Raw genomic sequence first — 26,165 nt, 5'->3', positions numbered from 1 at the left:
TGATGCAGCCCAGACTCACCATTTGCCAGGAGCCCAGTACCTGTACGGTGTCTGCTAGGTGCTGACTTCTCAGGTCCCTAATTGCTGCCTTCGGAGGTGTTAGTGGAAAAGAGCCCTGTTGCACTTTCTCCCTTTTGGCTCTGTACCCTCGAGCAAGTCCCCAAGCGCATCTCGGTAGCAGGCACTCAAAGGTCTGAATATGAGCCACCAGTTGGGATTGAAATTTGAGTGAGACAGTCCCAGCGAAAGCCTTGCAACTCCAAGTGTGGTCCATGAGCCGGCAGCATTGGCATCTCCTGGAAGCCAGTTAGGAAATCTTTTCAGGGCCTCACTCCAGATCTACTGAATCAGAATCTGCATTTGAAAGAGATTCCAAAGTGATACCGCCTACACGTTAAAGCCTGGCTTCAGAAAGAGAGAAAGAAGTGATTCCAGTACCAAATGGCAAGGGAAGTGAATCTCTGTCATCCCTTCCACTCTAACAGGCAGCATGTGCTATTAAGTTAGCCTCACTATAGCTATTATCAGTGCTTGCTGAACTGAATGAATGTTCCTACCTCTGAACGGCAGGTTTTAAAGAAGAGATTCAGTTCGGTTAAAGGTACCCTTAAATCAACCACTTGGAATTGAAGCCAGCCCTGCTGGAGACCCAGTCCCCTTCATGGAACACATAGCTGCCTTCCTGTGATTCTAAACACCACTGCTACAAAGGAAAAGATTTCCAGTCTCACCTCAAGTGGAAACTGGTGCTTCTCGTTTTCTCAGCAATAGACTTGGCTTTGCACAGAAATGGCATGAACCTAAAACCAAAGCAATCAGGGACTTAAGTGGGGCCCGTTGGCTTTTTTTAGTAACCTTATGCTAAGAGGTGCAAAGATTTGAGTGCTAGATTTCAGACACAAGTGCCGAGGCAGCCAGGAAATTGTTAGTAATGAATGTTTAAACTCCCAAACGTTGTACTGAAGACAAAAGAGCTTTTGTGGCTATACTGAAACTATTGTTTTAAAATTTTATTTATAAATAAAAGATATATACATATGTGCTTTAATATGATTAACAGGTTCCATTTTGTACAAAATGTTAAACCTAGAGTCCTCTGCGTCCTGGATGAGGCGTCCAAAGGGTGGAATAGTACAGCATTAGGACCTTTGTTCTCCTCTTGGCTTCTGGAAGAGAAACTCTTGCATGCCCTCGACTTTCACCGCAAAAATAAGTGAGAAAAAAGATAAATCCCATTTATGCAATGATATGTAGCTATGAGTTAATCACGGTATTTCATTCCATGAAATCCATTAAGCTGCTGGCATTTGCATGGCTCTAAGTTTATTTTAAGAGGCTCATTCAAACATGGCCAGGAATATATTGGCCTCTTGAGAGTTTGCATGGCAAGGAGTTATACAGCAGGAAAAAGAAAAAAAACCCAATAATTATATTGATGCAAGATTCATCAGTATTTTAGAATATTGTCGTTTCAACATGTTAAATTGTTTCTGAGCACTGCTGATTTCAGCACTGTCCCTGGTCCACGTGACGCAAATGCCACCCTTTCCATATATTCTTCAGCAAAAATATATGAAAAGCCCGTCACTCCCTAAGAGGACCCTGATCCCTCTGGAGAGGAAAACTAAACTCTTTAAGAAGAAAACCAAACCCAACCTGAACTAATCGTCCAAGGAGTCCTGTTTGGTCCCACGAAAGGCAGATTTCCATCCACACCAGTGAGGGGCAAGTGTCCGGGTTCCAACTCGAAGCCAGGCGGGCCTGTGCGGGGGTGAGTCCTTTGCCACCCGGCGCCCCCCAGGCTCTACAAGCGTCTAGAGGTCGGAGTCGCAGGGCAGCGAGCTGTCGCAGGGGTGGGTGCTGCACGAGGGAGCGTCCTGGGACTCCCACCCCTCCCCGTCGAGGACGTCCACCGAGTTGGTGTAGGCCTTGGGCCGCGGCCGCGGCATGGGGAAGCCGACCTTGGGCTTGGGCTTGGGCTTGCGGTGCTGGGCAGGCGGCGGTCGGTGCTGGCCGTCGCTGTAGTACTTGATGGCGGGCGCCAGGTCGGGCTCGGGCCACTCCACTTGGATGGTGCTGACGCTGCTGCGGCGAGGCCCGGCGGAGGGTCCCTTGCGGCGGCGGCGACAACGCTCGTCGCACCAGGGCGCGAAGCTGAGCGCCAGCGAGAAGCCGCCCAGCAGCAGGAGGCAGCTGCCCAGGTAGCCCAGGACCAGGCTGTAGCTGACCTGCACCGTGACCGGGCTGGCCGGGGCGGGCAGCACGTCGCGGTCCCCCAAGAAGTGGTTGTACCAGGACACCGGGATGAGGCCGAGGAGGCCAGCGACGAAGAGCACGACGCCCGAGAGCCCTGCCAGCACGAAGTTGGGCTCGTCCTGCCAGCAGCGCACGCCCAGCGACGCCAGCAGAAGCCCCAGGACCGTGGCGGCCAGCGAGGTGACCATGAGTGCCCGCGCCACCAGCACGGGCTGGGCCTCGAAGTAGCCCCACTGGTCCGTCTGGCCGCACTCGCGCTCGCGGCTGCTCTGCTCGCGACACATGTCCCACAGGCCCTGGTACAACTCCACGTCCACTGGCTGGTTCAGGAAGCCCTTCACCAGCCGCCAGCCGGGCGCCAGGGTGCCGGTCAGGTTGAGCAGGAGCCCGCAGGGCGCCAACACCATGCCCAGCGTCATCACCACCGGCGTCCGCATCCCGGCCCGCCGCGCCGACGGCGCCCCTGCAGCCTGCCTTCCTTCTCCGCTGTCGCCTTCTCCGCCGTCGTCTTCTCCCTGCCGTGCCCCAGGCTCCGGGGACCCGAAGTCAGCGCGGACGCCCCGGGCTCCGGGTCGGGCTCCTGAGCCCTGATCGCTCCAGGGACGCTCTTTGTCTCCTGCACGGGGACCGTCCCCACTTAGGCTAGTTCCCTCCTGGCGTCCCGGCCGCTCCGCCCTCCTACTGGCCCTAATCGAAACCAGCCCGCGGGCGGGTCTGACCGAAACCGCGGGTCCGGGCGCGGGCGCCCAGGGGCGGCTGCCGCGGCCAAACCTGGCCCGGGAGGGAGGGACCCGAGGTGAGCGCAGGAAGCGGCGGGGCCACCTCGCCCGCGGCAGGTGAGATGGGGATCCGAGCGGCGGGGACACCCCACCTTGCAGCCGGGCGGCTGGGCCACGCCTGGCCTGGACTGCTCACGGCCGGAGCAAAGGTCGCCCCGCCCCTGGGTCCTCGCGCCGCCCCGCCGGGCCAGGCGGGCGGTGGGCGGGGAGGGAAAGAGGCGGCGCTGGCGGGACGCGGTGGCTGCGCAGCTTCCCTGCTGCTCAGCGGATCTCGGTTCCTAGAATTTGTTTCCGGTCCCTGCCCGTCGACCCTGCGCTTATAGCTTAGCCCTTTACTCCCAGAGGGTTCCAGATCGCCCCCTGGTTTGCTCTGCAACTTGCAGCCACTCGCAGAGAAGTGGGCGGTGCCGAGCGCTCCCGGGGATTGGAGGTGCGCTGGGTGAGTGTGCAGAAGCCCACCCAGTCCAGGAGCGTGTCCCAGAACGTTGCACCGGATTATTTCCTTAATAAAGGCTCCACACTCTGGATTAAATTCGTCTCTAAAGAATCTGTGCCAGTGTACTTCTGGGCAGAAGGGTTACACAAGGATTTTACTTTCCTTTTTCAGCCTTGTGAGACTTTCAAGGGGACTAGAAAGAGGGACCAGTGTTCCCGGATGTCCTGCTTAGCGTTTTTTGCAGGTTTATTTAATTTTACAGTGTACTGTGGCCTTTCTCGTCTGTAGGTTATTTTACAACTCTATAAATTATAGAAAGCCTGTAGTATTGCAAATGACTTTTGCCAACATCAAGGCTAATGAGTTCGTCCCAGTGGAATGATTATTGTCCAATGGATACTGACCAGTATGGCATTGATTTGTAAATTCATTTTAGCATTCCTGTTTGTCTGTATATGTGTGTCCTTTTGTTCTTTGCTTTTTTTTTTTCCTTTTTCTTTTATTTATTTATTTATTTATTTATTTATTTATTTATTTTAAACAGGGTTGGGGAGTTTCGCTGTGTTGCCCAGGCTGGTTGCAAACTCCTGGGCTCAGGTGAGTCTCCCGCCTCAGCCTCTGGAGTAGCTAGGACTGCAGGCAAGTGGCCAGCTTCTTTGGTTTTAACATCATACTGGTTTCCTTATTCAATAATGAGTTAAATAACCTCTTTCACACATATTCATTTTATATTTGTGTGAAAGTCACGATGTTTACATTTTTTCTAAAAATTATCCTTTAATAACACTTTTTTGTATTTTCTAGATTTTTACAATGAAAACGTATTGCCTTTATAATTGTTTAAAATTAAAACTATTTTTAAAATTCAAGTTAATTTAGCATTGGTTTGAAATAATTTTGAATATTCCAGAGTGGACAACACTAGGAATGACAGTGACTGCTTTTTTTAAAAGAATATTTTTAAATTAAAAAAAAAACCTGTGGTAACATATATGTAACATACAGTTGACCGTTGTAACCATCTTTAAGTGTACAGCTCATTGGTATGACATACATTCACATTGTTGTGATACCCTCACCACCATCCACTCCTGGGATTTTTTCCTCTTCCCAAACTGACACTGTACCCACTAAACACTAACTCTCCTTTCCTCCCTCCCTCACAGGCCCTGGTGATCACCATTCTACTTTTTTCTCTCTATAAATTTAACTACTTTAGGTACCTCATAGAACTGGAATCGGACCGTATTTGTCCTTTCGTGACTGGCTTATTTCACTGAGCTTAATGTCCTCCAGGTTCATCCATATTGTAGCATGTGTCAGAATGTCCTTCCTTTTGAAGGTTGAATGATATTCTATTGTGCATAAATACCACATTTTGTTTATCCAGTCTTCCATCCATAGACACTTAGATTGCTTTTACCTTTTGGCTATTGTGAATAATGCTGTTGCATCATTTATGTAATAGTGATATATACATCACTTTTAATTTTTTTTAATTAAAAAAATTTTTTTTGAGATGGAGTCTTGCTCTGCTGCCCAGCCTAGAGTGTGACGGCAAAATCTCGGCCCACTGCAACCTCTGGTTCCTGGGTTCAAGCAAGCAGTTCTCCTGCCTCAGCCTACCTAGTAGCTGGGATTATAGGCACCCACCACCATGCCCAGATAATTTTTGTATTTTTAGTAGAGACGGGATTTTACCTTGTTGCTCAGGCTGGTCTCGAACTCCTGACCTCAACTCATCTGCCAACCTTGGCTTCCCAAAGTGCTGAGATTACAGGTGTGAGCCACTGTGCCTGGCCTATGCATCATTTAAAATTTGTCTTGTTTCATTAACTGTGTGGTGATTAACTATCTAAAGCAGGAATCAGTCTGCCATCCCTCTCATACATGTCAGAAGGTATCATGTGTGACACTGCCACTTCATAAATGCTTCATGTGATTTGAATCCTCTTCCAACATAGTTTCGTTTTTGCTTAGATCTCTGTGGAATGAGTGAAGCCCAGGTGTTATTTACCTGTGGGGAGGAAGGGCATCCTGGGGGTTCTACCTCCTAAATCTGTCTTTCGTCCTTCCATGTCTCTTTCTTCTCTACTGCCTCTTCCCAGTACAGGCCATTCTCCCATCTTTCTCCTTAAGCTGCTAACTGGTCTCCTACACCGGGCTTTGTGGCTCCCTTTTTATTAGCCACACGAACCTCACAGCTGGCCTGCATCAACCCTTTACAAGACCATTCCCAGTCCCACCCAGCCCTGCATTCCAGCCCTGTCTCTCCCTCCCTGCCGCCTCATCTCCTCACATTATAACCCAAAGAAACTGGATTTCCCCCCACATTTTCCCCGAACATTGTGTGCCCTTTTGCTTCCAGACCTTTGCAAATGCCCTTCTCTTTTCCTAGTGCCCTGCCTATCACTTCCCCACTCCAGTGCATCCTTAGATCTTTGCTTAAGTGCCATTTTCTCTGGGAGGGTTTCCTCATCCCCTAGATGAAGTTAATTAATTTTTCCTTTCATATACTTCCGTGACACCCCTTCTGTCACACCACTTACCACAGTTCCTTAGTCCTTGAATCATTTTGTTTTCTAGCTGGTCTGGGAGTTCTCTGAGGGCAGGGACCACATAGATCTTGTTCTGTTCTGTCCTCCAAACACATCTTGGTGCCTGGGCCACCGCAGCCACTCAACAAATCAATATTATGTCTTTCTGCCCTGAGTTCTTCCACATAGTACCTACTGAATTTTCCAACAAATGACCGTCTGGCCAAAACAGATTGTGACATACATCTCAGTAAGCAGGTTGATTTGTTTGAATGTTTCTTTTTCCTTAGCATAGAAAACAATCTATCCCATACGAGTATGGGATAGCTCCAGATATTTACGACAAATAAGCGTAGGCCTGTGGGGCTCACTTTCTGCGACAATAGAGAAAGAAGTGACTGTGTTAAGCATAGCATCTGGGGATAGAGCTGACCTCTGTTCCCTGGCCTTCTGAGTTCATCTGAAGTCTGAGGGAGAAATAAAGCATGAGTCACTCTGTGGTAGGAATGAATGAATGATTGCTGACATTAGGACCTGGCTGTGTAAGTGGATACCCAGGTTCTACCACAGATTTCTTTTCTGAAGAAGGGCCCGGTAGTAATGCAAGAATCTGTTCACTATGCTGCAGCTTTTGAAATGAATAGTGAGCCCCCAGCAGTGAATTCTGAAGGGACTGATGCTGAGTCCCCTGTTTGCCTGCACTCTAGGCCTCTGCTACCACCTCGCACAAAGGTGCAACCTGCAACAGCTTCATCTTGGAAAGTCACATTACCAACTTTGGCTAGGACAGAGGGTCCACTAGATCATCAGTCCTCAAACTCTTTGGCACCAGGGACAGGTTTCATGGAAGGTAATTTTTCCATGGGGTTGTGGGGGTAAAGATGGTTTCGGGATGAAACTGTTCCATCTTGGATGATCAGGCAACCTAGATCCCTCGCATGTGCGGGTTACAATGGGGTTCACACTCCCATGAGAATCTAAAGCCACCACTGATCTGACAGGAGGTGGAGCTCAGGCAGTAATGCTTGCTCGCCCATGGCTCATCTCCTACTGTGTGGCCCAGTTCCTGACAGGCCACAGACTGGTACTGGTTGGTGGCCCAGGGGTTGGGGACCCCTGCACTAGATCACTTTGCCATAATAAGATGTCCTCAGATTCCCTCTGCCAGGTCTTTATTTTACTTTCTCCAAAGGCTATTTTCTCTTTTTCTTCCTGGAACTCTGAACACCCTTTCCTGTGTTTGCTAAGCGATAAGACAATTTTGTTCACAATGTTATACTATGAGAATTCTGAATAGGAGTGAGAAATGAACTCCACTGATAATCATCCTATGGTAAATCTACTTCAGTGAGTTATAGAATAAAAATTAGACTATGAAAAAACTTAAACTATGATCTTTATTTTTAAATAGCATTAAAACAGCCTGAATTGAACAAAGCCCCTTCAATATTGTATTAGTTTTTCTTTTTGGCCAGTAGTCCAACAGCTGTTTTACCAACTGTGAGTGCCTAATATTGTAGAAAATAAATCAATAACTTTTCACATCGAGTGTGAAATAGCCCTCTTGTTAGCTCAGTATCACTTCCCTCTAATTTGTTCTGTTTATAGAATTTATCACTGCCACGTGTTTTCTAATATGTGTGTACTGACTTATCTATATTGTTTCCTACACCGCATTGTAAGTTTCAAAGACTAGAGATGTTGCTTGTGGCTATATCTCAGCTGCTGGAATAGTGCCTAGCTCTTAGTGGTACTCAGTACAAATCTATTAAATAAATGAAAGAATTTTTGTAAAGTTCCTGCATAGTAACACAATAGAAGAATGTAGCATACATCGCTTTTTAAAAAATTATAGTAACATCCACATAAAGTTTACCATCTTAAACATGTTACATGTACAGGTCACCTAGGTAAAGGTCAGTAGTCTTAGGTTCATTCACCTTGTTGTGCAACCAACTGGCAGAACTCTTTCCATTTTGCACGACTGGAATTCTATCCCCATTCATCAATTCTCCATCCTTGCTATCCCCCAAGCCCCTAGCAATCACCCCTCTATTTCCTGTCACTCTGAATTTGACTACTCTAGATAGCTTATGTAAATGGATTCATACAATATTTGTTATCTTGTGACTGGCTTATTTCACTTAGCATAATGCGCTCGAGATTCATCTATGTTGTAGCATATGTCAGAATTTCCTTCTTATTATGGCAAAAAATAATATCCTATTGTCGATAAATTCCAGATTTTGTTTATCCAGTCATCCATCAGTGAACCCTTGGGTTGCTTCTACCTTTTTTGGTTATTGTGAATGCTGCTGTGATGTATACATTTTTTTTTTTTTTTTTTTTTGAGATGGAATCTCACTCACTGTAGTGATCTTGGCTCACTACAACTTCTGCCTCTCGGGTTCAAGCGATTCTCCTGCCTCAGCCTCCTGAGTAGCTGGGATTATAGGTGCACACCACCATGCCTGGCTAATTTTTGTATTTTTGGTAGAGACAGGGTTTTGCCGTGTTGGCCAGGCTGGGTTCAAACTCCTGAGCTCAAGTGATCTGCCTGCCTCGGCCTCCCAAACTGCTGGGATTACACACGTGAGAGTATACAACATTTTGAATTTGTCTTATTTCATTTCTTGTGTGGCGACTTTAGATGGCCACTAAAACAGGAATCAACTTGCCACCCTCTCACACAAATCAGAAGGCATCCTGTGATACTGTGCCACTATTTCAAAAAATATGCTTAAGTTTTATCTTCTAGTGGCTTCAAACCCTTCTTGGCGTACAGTCACAGTGGCCTCCCTTGACAAGAGGGAAATGCTGGGTGGGAGTTGGGGTGGGAGTTGCTGTTCTAGGAATCAGCAGCTGCCTCTGTCTTGCCATGCTTGCTTCTCTTCAACCCTGGCCCTTCCTGTCTACTGCAGGGCAAACATATTTACCATGCCATGGACAAAATTCATTGAGGTCTTTGAGATAATTTTCAGTTTCTGTTGTTATTTATTTATTTATTTTTATTCACAAGGGGTTTGTTTCATTTTTGGCAAAATTTATCTTTTGAGAAAACCACATGGCCACTGGGCAAAGTCCTAAATGTAAAAACCGAGTACTACACTGATGGTAACCCTTTCCACGTTAATGTACAGACCCAATCCAATCCCAATAAAGTGTCAGACAGGAACTGGACAGGTGATTTCAAAGTTCATTCAAAAAAAAAATAAATGAATGAAACACATCAAGAAACTTTTAAATAGAGCAGTTATGAAAGGGTCTGCACACTCCAGCTGTTAAATGTAGTTTAAAGCTATAATAACTTAAATTCTATGTTAGCACTAGAATATGAAGGTAGATCAATAAAAATATCATCAATTGAAGCAAAAAAGTAGACCTTAGTTATAAATTTATAATATGAGAAAAGTGGGATTTCAAATCATAGAGAAAGGCATGAAAACTCAATAGTATTGTGGCAATTGTTTAGCTTTGGAAGAAGAAAAAAACCTAAGTTCATACATATACATTACAAAATATGTAAAAACAAAGTCTAGGTGGACTACCTAGTTACACGTAAAAACTAATACTGGCCGGGCGCGATGGCTCATGCCTGTAATTTAGCACTCTGGGAGGCCGAGGCAGGTGGATCGCTTGAGGTCAGGAGTTCAAGACCAGCCTGGCCAACATGGTGAAACCCCATCTCTACTAAAAATACAAAAATTAGCCAGGCTTGGTTGCGAGTGCCTATAATCCCAGCTACTCAGAAGGATGAAGCAGGAGAATTGCTTGAACATGGGGGTTGGAGGTTGCGGTGAGCCGAGATCGTGCCACTTCACTCCAGCCTGGGCAAAAGAGCGAAACTCCGTCTCAAAAAACAAAAACAAAACAAAAACAAAAACAAAACAAAACAAAAAACCACGAACAAAACACAACGAGACAAAAAACTAATAATAAAAGAATTAGAAGGAAGTGGAGGTGGAGGTAAAGCTACAGGAGTGAAAAGGTTTTCTAAGCAAAACATCCAAGATGGCAATGATGGAGAAAAAGGTTGATAGATTTAGCTACGTAAGAGTTTAAAATATTTTGATTTCAACATGCCTCACACAAAATTAAGACAAATCTTTATTAGTTTACGTGGCGGAAAAGAAGTTGATGTTTCATCTGTCTGGCAAATCAACAGGAAATCTTAGTATTGCGGTGAAAATTGGGTGAAGAATATGCACAGAGAAAAAGAAAATAGACATCAACTAGTCAAGTTCCAGGGTGATGAATTAAATGACCCTTTTATTCACAAAAATGCCAAATAGAACAAAGAGAAACCATTTTTTTTCTTCTTAGATTGAAATCATGTAGGGGGAAAAATACTACCCAAATTTGGCCAGAGTTGTGGAAAAAAATCACTACTAGAGGTAAAGTAAATAAACATTTATTTCAGACATGATGTTGAAATTTGTTTTTAAAAATCTTAAATATGAACCTTTATTTTGGTTTCTGAATTAACTTTCTAGGTGTTTGCTTCAAGGAAATAAACAGAGTATGTAGAAAGATTTAGTATAAAGATATCCACTAGAGTACCTTTGTTGTTGTTGTTGAGATGGAGTCTCGCTCTTTTGCCAGGCTGGAGTACAGTGGCGTGATCTCTCCTCACTGAAACCTCCACCTCCAGGGTTCCAGCGATTCTCCTGCCTCAGCCTCCCCAGCAGCTGGGACTACAGGTGTGCCCCACCACAACCAGCTAATTTTTTTGTATTTTTAGTAGAGACAGGTTTTCACAGTGTTGACCAGGATGGTCTCGATCTCTTGACCTCGTGATCCACCCACCTCAGCCTCCCAAAGTGCTGGGATTACAGGTGTGAGCTGCCACGCCCAGCCTAGAGTACCCTTTATAATAAGCTGATGATAAAGTAGTGGGGCAGTATGAAACCAATTAAATCTTAAAAAGAATATCTGTGTATACAAAAATACTAGAAGGAACAATGGGATGTACAATTGATTTTTATTTTGTTTGAGATTTTACACATTGTATTTCTCTAGAATTTTAAACATATGAAAAAGATTATTTTAAAAAATCATGATCAGTTAAGTGTCTCCGTTTTTCTAATTTTGAAGTAAAATCTCACATTCCTATGACACACATTTTTTCTCCCATAATTGTGAATGTGCCATAACTAGCTCTAGTCTTTTATGGCCGTAACTAGCTCTAGTCTTATGTGAACAGAGCTAAATTCTATTTTGATACAATAACAGTCAGGCCATTCACAGAAATACATGCAGAATAAATGATGTGCACATATTCCAGGAAAAAATGGAGTGGTATATTTCCACATTTGTAAGTATTTTTTATGTTTAAACATGATATAGAAACAGTCTTTACATGGAAACAAATAGCAATGATGAAATTCAACATACAAATCAGTCATAACAAAATTCATATATGGCATTGACTTTGAACTTCAAGAATATGTTCAGCAAATACGCTGTATACTGGTAAAGAAAAAAACCAGACAGCCTGATTTTTCATCTTTATATTATTTCTTCTTTCCAAAGGTCATTTTAAATATTATCATATTAATACTGGTGAGCATAGCATCCTTAGAAGTATTAACAAACATATTTTCTTATTTTTTTCCTGGAACTCTGAATACCCTTTCTTTCCTGTGGTCGCTAAGCAAATAAGGCAACTCTATGAATGGTCTAATTTTATGTGTACAATATTATGCTATTGGTATTCTGAACTTATGTCCAAAATATGTTGAACCTAGTAACGCAGGGAAACATTGTATATTTCTAGTTCATAAACTTCAGTTACAATGTTTAGGCCAGGCACGGTGGCTCACGCCTGTAATCCCAGCACTTTGGGGTGCTGAGGCAGGTGGGTCACCTGAGGTCAGGAGTTTGAGACTAGTCTGGCCAACATGGCAAAACCATGTCTCTACTAAAAATACAAAAAAATTAGCCGGGCATGGTTGGTGCATCCCTGTAGTCCCAGCTACATGGGAGGCTGAGGCACCAGAATCATTTGAACCTGGGAGGCAGAGGTTGCAGTGAGCCGAGATCGCACCACTGCACTCCAGCCTGGGTGACAAGAGCGAAACTCTGTCTCCAAAATAACAATAGTAGTAATAATGACAAATAATTAAAAGAAAGTTTAAATTATATAAAAGGGAAAATTTTAGCCGACAGATGTCAAATAAAACTGTGGTGGTTCGTAAGAGAAGTATTGCCCCATCCCATAGGACTTACTGTTTTGGAGAAAGTAAAAACTAATTAATTTAACAAGCCATTTTGACTGATGAATGCCCTGGACTTGGGAAAGAAAAAGGAGTATAAAAGCAAGTGTCTCCTTCCATATTTTCAGGGCATAATAGCCTCCCCTTCCCTGAACAGTAATACATTGTCATAATCTGAGTAGCAGGACGGACATGTGATTTTTCACCAGTCATTGCTAAGAGTGGAACGCACTGTAAACCTGCACTGGAAAGTTCTTTATCCTGTCTCACTGCTGCTCTCAGTTATGTTTTACCCAGACAGAAATGGGATAAATTCCACTGAAACAGCTACAATATGAGAAATAGAGGAGTTAATCATTATTAACATTGATTAATACATACTGATTTCAAAAGTACACCATATAGACACATGCAGAAATGCATATTGCTTGCTTTATGGTTGATGTGAGAATTGTTTAAAGTCTAGTAAAGTGAATGTCGTAAAATAGAGACTTTCTAAGCATATGCTTTTGAGAAAGACCATTTTGTCATCAGCTTAGCTTTCTCTGCCACCTCTACCTTGCAGATGCCTTTCAAAACGGAACCTGTTAAACTTACCAAACTTGTCATTTGTTTGCAAAGCTTGATGCCATGGGTTAGGCATTTTATCGGTTTTCAGTTCATTTGGATCAATAACAACATATAATGTTAACAATTGGGCAGGTATACTTTCATTCCTGACCCTGTTACGTGTCACAGAGACCTGGGAAAAATGCCCAGCGATAGGGAACTGGGCACACCTACTATAGTATGTGCAAATAAGCCAACGTTGAGGCTGGAAGGACATTAGAGAGCATGTACTCTAACGTCTTACTTTCTTAATGTAGGTACCATGGTGCAGGCAGAAGTGACTTTCGAACTGATGATGGGAAGGTAATTAGCACCAACTCTGGGAGCCTTTTTTCTTCAATAGTAAGATGAAAGCCAGGTGTGGTAGCTCACACCTGTAATCCCAGCACTTTGGGAAGCCAAGATGGGAGGATCCCTTCAGCCTAAGAGTTGGAGACCAGCCTAGGCAAAGAAGTGAGAAGCTGTATCTATCAAAAATAAAAAAAAAATAGCTGGGTCTGATGTTGGGCGCCTGTAGTCTCAGCTACTTGTGAGGCTGAGAAAGGAGGATTGCTTGAGCCCAAAAGGCCAAGGCTGCAGTGAGCTGAGGTGGCGCCACTGTGTGCCAGCCTGGGTAACAGAGCAAGACCGTGTCTCAAAAAAAAAAAAAAAAAAAAGTAAAATGAAATGGTTTCTACTCAGTAGGATTTCCATAAGGATGGGTGAGAAAACCTTTATAAAATACATAACATATAAAAATCATTTTTTTTTTGTGAGGTGGAGTCTTGCTCTGTCACCCAGGCTGGAGTGCAGTGGCGTGATCTCGGATCACTGCAACCTCCGCCTCCCGGGTTCAAGTGATTCTCCTGCCTCAGCCTCCTGAGTAGCTGGAACTATAGTCATACGCCACCACGCCCGATTAATTTTTTGTATTTTATTAGAGATGGGGTTTCACCATGTTGGCCAGGATGGTCTTGATCTCCTGACCTCGTGATCTGCTCGCCTTGGCCTCCCAAAATGTTGGGACTACAGATGTGAGCCACTACACCCGGCCAAAAATGATATTTTTTGTTAATACTAACAGAGCTGGATTAATCTATATTTGGGTAATATTGAGTTTCAACCTCCTTATACTCATCATCTAGTGTTTCCGAAATTTATAATAAAAATGGGAACCTACAAGAGTATAGCAGAGAGCAGTACATTTGTATTGATGACATTGTTAGTGATGTGAGAAGGCAATATTTAGGTATATCTAGCTTTCTGTACCTATGGAATATAAGCTAAAGAGTCAACATACATTGCAACATTTTTATTTGAGGCAGAGTCTCGCTCTGTCGCCTAGGTTGGAATGCAATGGCGCCATCTCAGCTCACTGCAACCTTCTCCCAAGTTCAAGTGGTTCTCATGCCTCAGCCTCCTGAGTAGCTGGGATGAGAGGCGTGCGCCACCACACCTGGCTAATTATTGTATTTTTAGTAGAGATGGGGTTTCACCATCTTGGCCAGGTTGGTCTTGAACTCCTGGCCTCAAGTCATCTCCCACCTCGGCCTCCCAAAGTGCTGGGATTATAGGCATAAGCCACTGTGCCAAGCCAAAAATATTTCTCTCATTGACATTATAATTGAATATTTCTGAAAGTAGAATTTTTTCATTTTAATTTCACTTAGGTAATTTAGAGATGGGATCTTGCTATGTTGCCCTGGCTAGCCTCAAACTCCTGGGCTCAAGGGATTTTTCCACCTCCACTTCCTGAGTAGCTAGGACTGCAGGTGCATGCTACTGCACCCAGAAGAATATTTATATGTAACTGGACGATTTGAATGTGAAATTTCAAACTGGAATGATAAAATGAAGCTGTGAAAAGGATACAAATTGCAGTGGGTAGAATGGGGAAGATAGAAAATCAAAAGAAAGCAAACACATTAGGAATTGGCAGCCTTCTTTAAGAAACCTACAGTGGCCAGTCAACGCCCTGTTCTGTTATCAGCCCCCAGCCACATGTTATTTGTGTTTTGATTTAAATAGGTTTTAAATCTCTTAGAAAATTGATTCTATTAGAGAGTAATTCATGAACAGTAAATTCTAGTGATGATGTTGCTTGGTTGCCAACTCTGCTCTAAATACCAGATTTAATGAATTTGAAGATATGTGCTCCCTCTCTTGCCTGGGGAATACCCGCTGATCCCATTGGGAGGAGGTGGGCTGGATTTAGAGGATGTGTCAGCTGAAAGATACGTGGGAGAGGTAATGACCTGTGTCACCTGTTAGTCACATTACCTGTGAAAAGTTACTTATTGTGCAGGCAATAAAAGTTACCTCATGGAGGCAAGAGTGCCTATCTGTCACTGGTTGGCAAAGAAGGAAGTTGCTTGAGAGAAACCCATAAAGTATGTGAATTTTGAACTGCATGATAAGGAAGATAGAAAGTAAGGGAGAAGACATTGGTAAGAAATGACATACCAGTGACAGGTTTGTCTAGTTTAAAATAAAATTGCAAGAGACTCTAGAGAAGTTGGCAATCAGTTTCACTAATTAAATTGAGGATGGCCAGTGCTCACCATACACATAGCATGATTTCCATCTTAAAGACATAGAGCATTGAGTTGGTTGGCCTGTGCTGCATAAAAATTATATCCAAATTTTTGTGACAAAGCAACAACGGTTTCTTATTTCTTTCCATTCTCTGGCTGGGCTGGGTAACACTTCTGCTGGTCTTGCCTGGGGTTAGTCATGGGGCTGATGTCAGCTGGGATCTGGGCTTGGCTGGAAGAAATGTGTGAGACAGCATGGCCTGTCTTTCTTTATGGTCTCTCATCCTCTAAAAGGCTGGCCTGGCTGCTTCGCTTGGCGGTTCAGGGTTCCAGCAGCAAGAGAGGGCAACCCTAATACACAAACACTTTTTAACCCTCTGATTGCATTTGCTAAGTCACGTGGTCAAACCCAGAGAAGAGGGGATTATCTAGGGCATGTATAGAGAGAGGTGAGAACAAAGCCAGGTCACAACTCTGACTATGGATCACAAGTACGTTCAACTATCTCCATTTTATTTTATTTTATTTGAGACAGTCTTGCTTGGTTGCCCAGACCGGGTACCATGGCACAGCTCACTGCAACCTCTGCCTCTGGGGTTCAAGCAATTCTTGTGCCTCAGTCTCCCGTGTAGCTGGGGCTACAGGCATATGCCACCACGCCACCATGCTCAGCTAATTTTTTGCATTTTTAGTAGAGAAGGGGTTTCACCATGTTGGCCAGGCTGGTGTTGAAGTCCTGGCCTCAAGCGATCCACCCGTCTTGGCCTCCCAAAGTGTTGGGATTACAGGCGTTAGCCAACGTCCCTGGTCAACTATCTTTAAACAGGAATATCAAAATATCTTAGGAATATGTACAACCAAAGAGTAGAATTCCTCTAGATCAGTGATGTCCAATAGAGATACATGTAGTTATGTATGTAATATAATTTAAAATTTTCTAGTAGTGAGATTAAAAAAGGTAAAAAAAGAAATTTTCATATGATATTTTATTTAATCCAATATATCTAAAATGGCTTCATTTCAACATGTACTCAATATTAAAATTATTGGTGAGAGATCTACATTCTTTTTTTGGTGCTAAGCCTTCAAAGTCTGTGTGTTCTACACTGTGTCACACTTCAATTCAAGCTCACCATATTCAGAGTGTTCAGTAGCATCAGGTGGCATATTGTGATTGGGTTGGACAGCACAGAACTAGATGCTAACAGCTGGGGAAGAGGAAGAAGTGGAACTGGAAGGCTGAAATCCATTGACAGTCTGTATGCAGAATAGTCATCTCTTGACAGCTGAGGGTGGGAGGCCGGAGAGGGAGGATCTGTATAAAAAACAGAATGAATGCTCGGTAGTGAGAAATCTATTCATATAACCCGTTATATTAATTAAAAAATACTAACAGATTCTTTTTGTAAAATTTAAAATCAATTTTTAAACTTTTATTTAGGTTCAGGGATACACTTGGAGGTTTTTATGTGTGTAAATTGCATGTCACGGGGGTTTGGTGTACAGGTTATTTAATCACCCGGTTAATAAGCATAGTACCTGATAGACAGTTTTTCGATCCTCTAAGATTCTATTTTGTTAACATTCAACATGAACGACTAATTAAAACAACAACAACAACAACAACAACAAAAACCCGTGGTGAAATAAAATAGAGGGATATTTCCCTCAGTGGTAAAGAATATTTACTTAAATCAATGATCAACTTTATAAGTGGTTTAATAGCAGAAGCATTCCCAGCAAGTTCAGAACTATTTTTTAAGCATTGAGCTGGAAGGGCTAACCAATTAAATTAGATAAGGGCCTACATTTAAGGGTAAAAATATTGACAGGAAGAGGCAAAATAGAAAAAAGATCCCATTTACAATGGTGGTGACAAGAAAATTAATAGGATTTCAATGAAGTCGTAGTAGATTAAAAATGACTACAAATTATTTGCCACTTTGCTTAGAAAGAGGCTGAATCTAATTCACCCCTCAATGACTAGGCTTGGCCACGTGACTTGCCTCGGTCAATGGGACACCGGCAAGTATGGCGTAGCAGAGGCTTGATAGTTGCTCACGCATTGGAGCTTGTCCAAGTAAAAAAGCTAGTCTAGTGCGTGGAGGATGAAAGGAGGCTTGGAAGAGGACCAAGGTACCCAGCTGCCAGCTCGATCCAAGGCTCCTGACAAGTCCATCTTGGTCCCTGCACTGCAGCCAGCTGAATGTAGTCTCATGAATGAGCCCAGACAAGAACATCAAATGATAGAGAAATGATATATAGTCAATCATTAACTTTGGGGATAGACTGTCATGCAGCAATAATTAACTGATACAGAAGAAAACTGCTTTAGAATCCCGGAGTTGTAGTTATTTTGGAAATCATCTGATGGCCTTGCCTTACAACAAAGGGATACTGGAAACTGGGAGTAGACAGTTTAAGAGAGGGGATGACATGGGCAGGTTTAAGGCCAGCAATTTCATCTCCATTTATGCATTAATTTAGTAATTCTTTCATCAAGCATTCTTTGAATGCTCACTGAGCTTGGTGCTCAGAAAAATGGAACAGGCTGAGTTCAGAGGGAGAGACAGGCATAGGAGGAAACAGCCATGATATCAAGAGATAAACAGTATAATAAAAGTATATGCAGAGGGCTGTTTCCAGGGACATGGGGCCAAAGTGGGAGGGTCACTGAAGTGACATTTGGACTGGGTCATAAAGGATCAATAAGATTTTATGAGTCAGAGAAGGTTGGGGAAGGACATTTCAGGCAGAGACAGGAGTAGCAAAGGCCCAGAAATGTCTTAGTGTAAACCAAATCAAGGAAATGGTAGGGGGTATGGACCAGTCTCTAGCCAGGTGATAAAAGGACATGATTTAATTTGACTTTTGTCCTTGCAGACCTCATTCTGCAAATCCATTGTGGATTGCCTTCCAAGGAATCTTGATTTCAGCTAACTCTTCACCACCCTTTTTGCAACAGGTTTCAGCTAGGACCTACAAAGTGAAAAGGACACCTCCTATAATATTTAGCTAGACGGTTCAGAATTTATACCTTGTCTCGTCTTTGCTGTTCTGTCTTTAACATAATGTAAGTTTCACTGCTGATTCATTTTATCTTAATAGACAGGTAAGCATAATTTTGCACATGACATTTGGAGATGATCTGCACTTGGAAAATGAACTGATTTGTTTTCTTCCCTGCAGAACATGGGAAAGGAGAACTCTAATAGGTTACAACCAGTTTACTTCACCAGCTCCCCCTTTGGCATTGAAATAAGCGTTTTGACTTCTTTGTAATATACCTGAATATCATTTATTAGAATTTGACACAAAGACAAGTGTTCTTCATTGTTTGTATCTGTAACTAGGGAAATATGTTTTCTGAGAGTTTTAACATTCCAATCCATCATCTAGCTAATCCTTTTAATCCCTGTAGATAAGTAAATAGAAAAAAATGTATCAATCATTATTTTTATTTTTACTAGCCCACATCCTCATTCAGAGGTTGCACTGTTGATGATATTAAGGCAATCATGTTCTTTTTTAAACACCTGACTCATTGCTTGTTTCTAGTTAATATGGAAATAAATGGCGCTCTCTCTCTCTCTCTTTTTAATAAAAGGCTGGCTTGTGCTGTTCCAGTGCTTACAGTGAAACTGAATGTCAAGTGAAGCCATCTGAAAATAAAAAGGGACCAGAAATCATCTTGTCTCTTTATTTTGTGACATGTTTCATTCTTCTCTTTCCAGCAACTTTAAAAAATTCATTCAGTTTGCTTCCATTTCTGTTATTTTAAAAATATGTCCTCTTGTTTCTTTGATTTTCTTAAGTAGCATAAGCCACTCCTGCCTGTAGACACACACACTCATTCTGCCTTGTTGTGCTGGGCCGTCAGCAGGAACCACTCTTAACTCTAGCTCCATGTGAGCTCTCTTCCAGGAAGTAATAGAGCTGGGGAGCTGGTACTTGAAGGATGAGACTTCACCAGGCAGTTAAAGGAGAAAAGCGATCCAGGCAGAGGAAACAGTGGGAGCTAAAACCTGGAAGAGTAACTCCTGAGGGTCATGAAGTTTGTCCTACTATAAATGTACAAATGTGTGTGTGTGATCTCACCATCGCCATCACTGTGACGCTGCTGAGGCAGGTTCAGAAAAAACTTGAATGTCACGCTGGAGGGTGTGGTCTTTATTCTGCAGGTGAGAGAACTATGAGTGGTTTTAAAGCCAGGTAATGCCATGCCCTGATTTGGTTTTGAGCCATCACTCTGTAGCAGAACAGAGAGAAAGGGGGGCTGGTTAGGAGGCTATTTAATTGCGGTGTATCACGTGACAGATGTTAGACTTGGAAGTCAGTATTCCAGAAGAGAAGAGCAAAAGTAATGTGGTACTGGGGGTGGTGGTTAGCCTGGGGACTGGGTGCATGGCGAAAGCCAAGTTTCACAGCAAGACAGGGAAAAGAAGGTGTGTGTGAATGGCGAGGCCAGGGACAGGGACGTGGGAGGGGAGGAATTTGGCTTTGGATATTTAGAAAGTTCAGGGAGGAAGATTGCATAGATGACTCTGAGATCTGATAATGGATCAAGGTGAAGTCTGATGCCTTTTGTTTGCTTGCTCGGTTGCCAGCATTTTTAGACACTTGTTTATCTGTTTGGGTGTTGTCTCTTTCCACCTGCAGCTCCCTAGATGTTTACGGTCACTTTTCATACATATATATATATATATATATATATTTTTTTTTTTTTTTTGCGACGGAGTCTTGCTTTGTTGCCCAGGCCGGAGTGCAGTGGCATGATCTCGATTCACTGCAACCTCTGCCTCCAAGGTTCAAATGATTCTCCTGCCTCAGCCTCCTGAGTAGCTGAGATTATAGGCACATGCCACCACACCCAGCCAATTTCTGTAGTAAAGACGGAGTTTCACCATGTTGGCCAGGCTGGTCTTGAACTCCTGACCTCAGGTGATCCTCCTACCTCAGCCTCCCAAAATTCTCAAATTACAGGCATGAGCCACCATGCCTGGCCAACTTTTCATTTATAACAATGAAAGTTTCCCATTGCCTTTTTTTTTTCTTTTTGCTGAAATGTACTCTTCTAGCATTTAAAGTCAAAGTGAATACAATGTCAGGTTAACCCACTTGAAAATAAAAGCAACCAACTGCCATAACAAGACTTAAAAAATAATATAGAGCTGCTGCTTTTCCTCTCTCTCATGTTTTATTTTTACCCTTATGATTTTCTCATAATCACTTTGATTTTTTTCTTCCAATATTCTTTTCCCATCTTCCCACTTAGAAGGAAGCAGTAGATATTGGGGCATTTTTCCTGGTCATTTTCAGAGCATTGGTTCTGCACTGCAGGGTTAGTTACCTACCACCTACCTAGGAGATGGGGGAAGTTACCTCCCCCTCTCTCAAGCTGTCTCGGGGAAATAATTAGAAACTCAGATTAAAATTTTCATTCCCATAGCTTGAGCTGTGAAACAACAAGATACATGACAATATTCTTGGAATATCCTTACTCATAAATGTCAGAAAATGCCTTCCTTAAAAAATAGAAATGTAAAAATTTCTTCTTTTTATTGCAACACTTACCTATGGGCATGTAATAGCCCTCACTGAATAGTTGTTGAATGAATTAAAATATAAATTATTCACTTTTTTAAATTATTATTATTTTTGAGATGTAGTCTCACTCTGTCACCCAGGCTGGAGTGCAGCGGCACAATCTCAGCTCACTGCAACCTCCCAGGCTGGAGTGCAGTGGCGTGATATCGGCTCACTGCAACCTCCGCCTCCCGGGTTCAAGCGATTCTCCTGCTTCAGCCTCCCGAGTAGCTGGGACTACAGGCACATGCCACCATGCCCAGCAAATTTTTTACTTTTAGTAGACACGGGGTTTCACCATGTTGGTCAGGCTGGTCTCAAACTCCTGACCTCAGGTGGTCCGCCTGCCTTGGCCTCCCAAAGTGCTGGGATTACAGGAGTGAGCCACTGTGCCCGGCCTAAAATCTAAATTATTAAAAAAAGGTTTATGAACTCTACGAATGACTTCTCCTTTTTATTACACAGCACCACTGTTGTAACAAAATGATGTTAGTTTTAATCTCCAAACCAGTTCCGTAAAATGCTAAAAACTCATGATGATTCAGAGACATGTTGACTGTCATCTGCCACCAAATCACCATTTAAAAAGATAAAGAGTCCTATATTAGATAGAAAGAGGCCTCATATAGAGTATTTCATCCCCCAAAGCAGGTGCTCATCAAAATAGATTCTAATAATTATGGACTCTAATTCAGTGGATGATAGGCTTATGTTACAGCAATCAAAGTGCCTTTTTTCAATTAGTGCATGTCAAATAGAATAGGAAGGTTTGGGCTTCTCTGTAATGACATGGTTATTACCGATTTCTTAGAGTGTTGCAGTAATGGGCCGAGCGTGGTGGTTCACGCCTGTAATCCCAGAACTTTGGGAGGCCGTGGCTGGTGGATCACGTGAGGTCAGGAGTTTGAGACCAGCCTGGCCAACATGGTGAAACCCCATCTCTACTAAAAATACAAAAATTAGCCAGGCGTAGTGGTGCACACCTGTAATCTCAGCTGCTTGGGAGGCTGAAGTGGGATAAGTGCTTGAACCCAGGAGGCAGAAGTTGTAGTGAGCCAAGATTGCGCCACTGCACTCCAACCTGGGCAACAGGGCAAGACTCTCTCTCAAAAATAAAAAAATAAGTAAATAAATAAATAAATAAAAAGGACGTTGCAGTAATGTAATGTTTTCCAACATTATTTTAACGAGGTTCAGCTGAATCAAGTTACCTATCCATGGTTTGGCGTCAAATCAACACACCTGGGGCAGGTTCTAAATTTGTCTACATTATTTTTCTTTACGGAACTTTCCAAACTCTTGCTAGGCCACAACATGAACCTGACAATTGTTTCTTTCTGAGCGAAGATCCTGTCAGACAAGTGAGCCATTGAGACTGGAACCCGCTGTGGGTTTGTGTGTTGTATGTTGCAAAAGGCAGGGTCCTTTTTGCATAACGGATCCTCCTGAGACTGAGGCTGGACTTGAGTTTGTTAGTCACAATTTTCATTTCCGTAATGAAAAACCACTTTCTTAAAGACAACTTTATTAATCAGAGAGTGGAATTTCAGATTATAGAGACAACTAAAGATTTGGATGAATTTTAGCATCCATTCTGTCTATAGTAAAATGAAGATGCTGTACCTTCCATATACCATTTCCTGGGTGCCAGGCATTGTGCATAGTACTTAGCTCACATCAACTCATCCTATTCTTTTGCAACGGGGTGTGAAATGTGACTTTTCCTGTGCCCTCCTTGTGTTTGGCAGAGGCTTCAAAGCTCAACCACAGCAGGTGCCAGACCATCTCTGCAGAACCAGTTTGGCCACCATCACTCATCATGCTCCTCCAGGCTCCATAAGAAAAAGTGCAAAAATTCCCTAGGAAGATCAGGGCAGAGACATCCCTCTAGAAAGAGTCTTCTGCCATGGTGTGGCCTCCCCATTTTCCCGGTATCTCCCAGGGCTCTTTGTACAAGGCGGGCTCTGCAGAGAGACAGTAAAAACCAACCTGATTCTTCCTCAATATCATGGCATGTATTTTTCCAATAATTGCTCTTCTCTGTCCTTGGATGAATTTCTGAGTTCATTGATTTACCTATCACCTTCAGATATTAAAAAATCTGATACATAGTTGAAATGCCAACACACATTTATTTTTTATTTTTATTTTAAAAAATATTTTTAAAGTAAATACATAAAGACATAGGCTTGCTGTGTTGGCCATACTGGTCTCAAATTCTCAGCCCTGAGCGATCCTCTCGCTTTGGCCTCCTGAATTATTGGGATTATGGACACGAGACACCGCACCCAGCCCCAACCCACATCCAATTCACCACAGTGTTTCCTCTCCTTAGACGCATCCTGCCTCCAGCTAGGAGGTCTACAGTGTGGCCAGGCCACAGTTAACTTCCTTCCTATCCCCTCATCTGTCTTCCACTAGTCCTTTCCCCGAACTTACTGTGCTCCTTTGGGGTTCAAGGGAAGAGAGGAGAAGTGTTGAGGGGCTGAAAAGGCTGTCTTTGACTGGGGCAGTGCTAATCTGCCCACACAAGTGTGGCACATGGCCACATATGGATTGTGTGTCTCCTGGGTCCCTCTTGTGGGGATCTTGGACAGCCCCATTGGGCACAACCAATGATCATTCCTGGGTTGGCCTCTTCAACTTCTATCCACTCTGACTCCCTGTAGGTGGGGATTACTGCTGCCACCTCCCCTCCTCCCAAGATGGTCTTCTCAGATGGAGTCTCCTTCTTTCTTTCTTTGGCCCAGATCAAGGCCATCTGGCCCATGGAAGTCATAGCCGCTGTGATGCCCCTGGTGTGGTGCTTCTAGCTCCTCCTAGAGCCCACTCCTCCCTCTGCCTCCAGGGAAGTTCAGCCACAGCTTCTCGCTTTCAGCCTTTTTATAAAACACAAGTGAGGCTGGGCATGGTGGCTTACACCTATAATCCCAGCATTTTGGGAGGATGAGGTGGGAGGATCGCTTGAGGCCGGGAGTTTGAGACCAGCCTGGGCAACATGGCAAGATCCCCTCTCTAAAAACTTTTTTTTAATTAGTCAGGCATGGTGGTGCACACCTGTGGTCCTTGTTCCTCAGGAAACTGAGGTAGGAGGATTGACTGAGCCCAGAAGTTCAAGGCTGCGGTGAGCTATGATCATGCCACTGCACTCCAGCCTGGGTGACACAGTGACACCCTGTCTCTAAAAAACAAAGCAAAACAAAAACCATGAATGAGACACCAGTCCATGCATACTCTCCACACTTCAAGTTTTCCAACATTTTCTAATATTTTCTGGTTTCTCTCTGATCTGAAGCAGGTGGGTTGCAGAAGGGCACCCCTTTCCTTACCTGCCTCCTCCCATTTGGGTGAACTGCATGGCACCCCAGCAGCCCTCCACAAGGACACTCTCCCTGGCAGCCTCTCTAGCACATCTTATTAATATTCTCTTTTATATCTTGAGAGGAGTAATTGGCTCATTCGGCAATGGCGGCAAATGGGTTTGGGGATAATTCTGCAAGTCTTGTGGAAATGGCCAAAAGCCTGCCTGAAAACGTGGTGGTGCTTGACACTTCTTGTTTTCAGTTTTCGGTCCTTGGTCCAAACTCTGCTAACACTTAATCTGTGGATTAGGAGTTTACAAATGTCCTTTTTACAAATGTTGAAACTAAGACTCAGAAAGATTAAATAAGTTGCCCAAGTTTGCATGACTAATAAATGGTAAAATGGAATTCTGCTTACTGCTGTCTCGTGATTTCCCAGAATCCAGTGAGTGTTTACAAAACCCGGGATAGAGGTTAGGAGAGGTTGCTTGAGTTTCTGACTCAGCAGTTTTGTTGCTATTCATGTAATGGAAAACCATATTCTAAAACACAACTTTTCAAGCACAACCGATCTGTTGTATGGTCCTGAGTTTAGCTAAAATTTTATTTCTTGTAAAAACTGAGGCTATGTGGACTGTAGGTGAGTCCTTTTTGGTTCCCAGAGTTTAGAACAAAGAGTCAGGAGGCTGACCCCACAATCTCCAAAGTCCATTTTTCCATCTGAACAGATAAATAGGGTCCTTTAAGGTGGTGGAAAATAAGTACCTTTTTAACATCTCTCTAGAATAAGAAACACAAGGATATTGTATAACAGCTTAGGACTTTTGTTTCCCTTTGACTTCTCACATTGCTTTTGTGTAATGTTGGCATTCAAAGTTTCTTTATTTTTTTGATTAACATCCGTGTTTTTTCCTAGGGCTGCTGTTGCAGAGAAACACAGAGTGGCTTAGAACAACAGAAATGCATTACCCTGCAGTTCTGCAGGCTATGGTCTGAAATCAAGGTGTCAGCAGGGCCGCGCTTCCTCTGAGCCTCTAACGGAGGATCCTTCCTTGTGTCTTCCAGCTTCTTTTGGCCTTAGGCAATTTTTGGTTTGCAGCGGCGTTAACTCCAATCTCTGCCTCCTTCATTACGTGGCCTTTTCCTTAAGTGTCTGGGTCCACATTTCCCTGTTCTTAGAAGAACACCAGTGATATCTGACTAAGGACCCACCACTCCAGTCTGACTTCATCTTCACTTAGCTAATTGCATCTGCAAGGACACTATTTCCAAGTCAAGTCACATTCAGTGGTACTGGGAGTTGGAACTTCAGCATACCTTTCTAGGGGGCCACAATTCAACCCATCACAACTCTCAGTTACATATTTCCATCCCCATGGAAACAGGAGCTGCAAAGGGCATTTTTGTGAAGAAGCTAAGGTTGTCTTTGAAGCCTGCCTTCTTTTCCCAAGGGCAGAGGAAAACTTCTGCCACTCAGCATCCTACATTCTCAAAGCCCTCCATTTGGGACACAAGGAATTTTATACATTCACACATCCAATGTACATTGGTTTGGCTGTGTCCCCACTCAAATCTCATCTTGAATTGTAGCTCCCATAATTCCCATGTGTTGTGGGAAGAACCCAGTGGGAGATAATTGAATCATGGGAGTGGTTTCTCCTATACTGTTCTTGTGGTAGTGAGTAAGTCTATCAATATCTTTTGGTTTTTTAAGGAAACCCCTTTCACTTGGTCCTCTTTCTCTCTTGTTTGCCTCTATGTAAGACGAGCCTTTCCCTTTCCGCCATGATTGTGAGGCCTCCCCAGCTGCATGAAATTGTGAGTCCATTAAACCTCTTTTTCTTTATAAATTGTTCATTCTCGGGTATGTCTTTATCAGCAGTGTGAAAGCAGACTAATACATACATTGCTAGCCCTAAATTATTTTATGGT

At 43.4% G+C, this 26,165-nt stretch overlaps 1 protein-coding gene and 1 long non-coding RNA gene across 3 annotated transcripts, besides 3 other annotated features; one reads left to right on the top strand and one right to left on the bottom strand.

Annotated features, from left to right (window-relative positions):
* Positions 1–995: 995 nt before the first annotated feature.
* Positions 996–3,155, bottom strand: CLDN23 (claudin 23). Its single transcript, NM_194284.3, has one exon. The coding sequence runs from the start codon at positions 2,691–2,693 to the stop codon at positions 1,815–1,817; it is 879 nt and encodes a 292-aa protein (NP_919260.2). The 5' UTR covers positions 2,694–3,155; the 3' UTR covers positions 996–1,814.
* Positions 2,362–3,329: an enhancer, noted in NCBI's record as "H3K27ac-H3K4me1 hESC enhancer chr8:8559273-8560240 (GRCh37/hg19 assembly coordinates)". NCBI's record gives its function as "activates a minimal SCP1, AML or CMV promoter by ChIP-STARR-seq in primed H9 embryonic stem cells {active_cell/tissue: H9 hESC(primed)}" and the evidence as "EXISTENCE:reporter gene assay evidence [ECO:0000049][PMID:30033119]".
* Positions 2,362–3,422: a biological region, named in NCBI's record as "H3K27ac-H3K4me1 hESC enhancer GRCh37_chr8:8559273-8560240".
* Positions 2,803–3,422: a silencer, noted in NCBI's record as "silent region_18900". NCBI's record gives its function as "represses an Ori minimal core promoter by ATAC-STARR-seq in GM12878 lymphoblastoid cells {active_cell/tissue: GM12878}" and the evidence as "EXISTENCE:reporter gene assay evidence [ECO:0000049][PMID:35858748]".
* On the top strand, positions 17,819–19,031 carry LOC105379225 (uncharacterized). Of its 2 annotated transcripts, XR_948927.4 has the most exons (3): positions 17,819–18,186; positions 18,311–18,418; positions 18,953–19,031. It is a non-coding gene; the product is annotated as an uncharacterized LOC105379225 (long non-coding RNA). The 2 variants fall into 2 exon arrangements; XR_007060802.1 differs by having other exon boundaries at positions 17,819–18,418.
* The last annotated feature ends 7,134 nt before the right edge of the window (positions 19,032–26,165 follow it).

Source organism: Homo sapiens, chromosome 8 (assembly GCF_000001405.40).
Source record: "Homo sapiens chromosome 8, GRCh38.p14 Primary Assembly".
Taxonomy (NCBI): domain Eukaryota; kingdom Metazoa; phylum Chordata; class Mammalia; order Primates; family Hominidae; genus Homo; species Homo sapiens.
This window is presented reverse-complemented; position numbering and strand designations above follow the sequence as displayed.

Bases quoted from the DNA above. Each gene is read 5' to 3' on its own strand.
- CLDN23 (NM_194284.3), bottom strand. From the start codon at position 2,693: ATGCGGACGCCGGTGGTGATGACGCTGGGCATGGTGTTGGCGCCCTGC.